Source organism: Homo sapiens, chromosome X (assembly GCF_000001405.40).
Source record: "Homo sapiens chromosome X, GRCh38.p14 Primary Assembly".
In the NCBI taxonomy this organism is placed as follows: Eukaryota; Metazoa; Chordata; class Mammalia; order Primates; family Hominidae; genus Homo; species Homo sapiens.
In genome coordinates, this window is record NC_000023.11 from 100,556,551 (window position 1) to 100,559,635 (window position 3,085).

Below are 3,085 nucleotides of genomic sequence, written 5' to 3' on the forward strand. Positions count from 1 at the left end.
AAAACCAGAGACCTTTGTTCACTTGTTTATCTGCTGACCTTCCCTCCACTATTGTCCTGTGACCCTGCCAAATCCCCCTCTGCGAGAAACACCCAAGAATGATCAATAAAAATAATAATAATAATAATAATAATAATAAAAACAACCCCATCAAAAAGTGGGCAAAGGACATGAACAGACACTTCTCAAAAGAAGACATTTATGCAGCCAAAAAACACATGAAAAAATGCTCACCATCACTGGCCATCAGAGAAATGCAAATCAAAACCACAATGAGATACCATCTCACACCAGTTAGAATGGCAATCATTAAAAAGTCAGGAAACAACAGGTGCTGGAGAGGATGTGGAGAAATAGGAACACTTTTACACTGTTGGTGGGACTGGAAACTAGTTCAACCATTGTGGAAGTCAGTGTGGCGATTCCTCAGGGATCTAGAACTAGAAATACCATTTGACCCAGCCATCCCATTACTGGGTATATACCCAAAGGACTATAAATCATGCTGCTATAAAGACACATGCACACGTATGTTTATTGCGGCATTATTCACAATAGCAAAGACTTGGAACCAACCCAAATGTCCAACGATGATAGACTGGATTAAGAAAATGTGGCACATATACACCATGGAATACTATGCAGCCATAAAAAATGATGAGTTTATGTCCTTTGTAGGGACATGGATGAAATTGGAAATCATCATTCTCAGTAAACTATCGCAAGAACAAAAAACCAAACACCGCATATTCTCACTCATAGGTGGGAATTGAACAATGAGATCACATGGACACAGGAAGGGGAATATCACACTCTGGGGACTGTGGTGGGGTGGGGGAACGGGGGAGGGATAGCATTGGGAGATATACCTAATGCTAGATGACGAGTTAGTGGGTGCAGCGCACCAGCATGGCACATGTATACATATGTAACTAACCTGCCCAATGTGCACATGTACCCTAAAACTTAAAGTATAATAAAAAAAAAAAAAAAAAGAAAACATCAGAGAAATCTCTAGGACATTGGTCTGAGTGACGATTTCTTGATTAATACCCCACAAACACAGGCAACCTAAGCATAAATGAGCAAATGTGATCAGATCAATTTAAAAAGCCTCTGCACAGCAAAGGAAACAATCAACAAAGTGAAGGGACAACCCACAGAATGAGAGAAAATATTTTCAAGCTACCCATCTGACAAGAGATTAATAATCAGAATGTATAAGGAGCTCAAACAACTCTATAGGAAAATATCTAATATTCAGGTTTTTAAATGGGCAAAAGATTTAGATAGACATTTCTCAAAAAGACATACAAATGGCAAACAGGCATATGAAAAGGTGCTCAATATCACTGATCATCAGAGAAATGTAAATCAAAACTACAATGAGATATCATCCCACCCCAGTTAAAATGGCTTATATCCGAAAGACAAATAATAACAAATGTTGGTGATGATGTGGAGAAAAGGGAACCCTCACACACTGTTGGCGGGAATGTACATTAGAACAACCACTATGGGGAACAGTTTGGAAGTTCCTCAAAAAACTAAAAATTGAGCCACCATATATTCCAGCAATCCCACTGCTGGGTATATACTCAAAAGAAAGGAAATCAGTATGTAGAAGGGACATCTGCGGTCTTATGTTTGTTGCAGTACTGTTGACAATAGCCAGAATTTGGAAACAACCTAAGTTCCATTAACAGATGAAAAGATAAACAAAATGTGGCACATATACACAATGGAGTACTATTCAGCCTTAAAAAACAGTAATATCCAAAGATTTGCAACAACATTGATGGAACTGGGAATCATTATGCTAAATGAAATAAACCAGGCACAGAAAGACAAACATCAAATGTTCTCACTTATTTATGGAATCTAAAAATCAAAACTATTCAACTCATGGAGATAGAGAGTAGAAGGATAGTTACCAGAGGCTGGGAAGGGTAGTAGGAGGTGGGTAGGAGATGGGGATGGATAATGGGTACACAAAAAATAGAAAGAATGAATAAGACCTAGAATTTGATAGCACATGGTGACTATAGTCAATAATAATTTAATTGTACATTTCAAAATAACTAGAAGAGTATAATTTGATTGTTTTTAACACAAAGTATAAATGCTTGAGGGGATGGATACCCCATTTTACATGATGTGATTTTCACACATTGCATGCCTGTATCAAAACATTTCATGTAAACCATAAATATATATACCTACTGTGTACCCACAAATATTAAATATTTTTTAAAAAGAAAAGAAAAAGAAGTAACTTTTTTAAAAAAATAACAATGAGAAACCACTGTACTACATCTGTTAGAAAAGCCCAGATCCAAAGCACTAACAAAACCAAGTGTGGATGAGGATGTGGAACAGCAGAAACTCTCATTCATTGTTGGTGGGAATAAAAAATTGTAGAGTCACTTTGGAAGACAGTTTGGCAATTTCTTACAAAACTAAACATACTCTTACTATGAGATCCAGCAATTATGGTCCTTGGTATATACCCAAATGAGTTGAAAACTTATGGACACGCAAACTCTGCACCCAGATAGTTGTAGACTCTTTATTCATAATTGCCAGAAATTAGAAGCAGTCAAGATGTCTTTCAGTAGATAAATGGATAAATGGACAAATAAATTGTGATACATTCAAACAATGGAATATTATTCAGCAGGAAATAAATGAGCTATCAAGCCACAAGAGGACATAAAAGAATCTTAAATGCATATTGCTAAGTGAAAGAAGTCACTCTGAAAGGGATACATACTGTATGATTCCAACTATATGTAATTCTAGATAAAGCAAAACTATGAATATGGTAAAAGGATCAGTGGTAGCCAGGGGTTAGGGAGGAGGGAAGGATGAATAAGTGGAGCACAGAAGATTTTTAGGGCAGTGAAAATACTATGTTTGGTACTATTATGGTGGATATGTGTCATTAGGCATTTGTTAAAACCCACAGAATGTATCACACCAAGAATGAACCCTAATATAAACTATGGACTTTGGGTGATAATGATGTGTCAATAGAGGTTCTTCAGTTGTAATAAATGTGCCATTGTGGTGTGGGATTTTGACA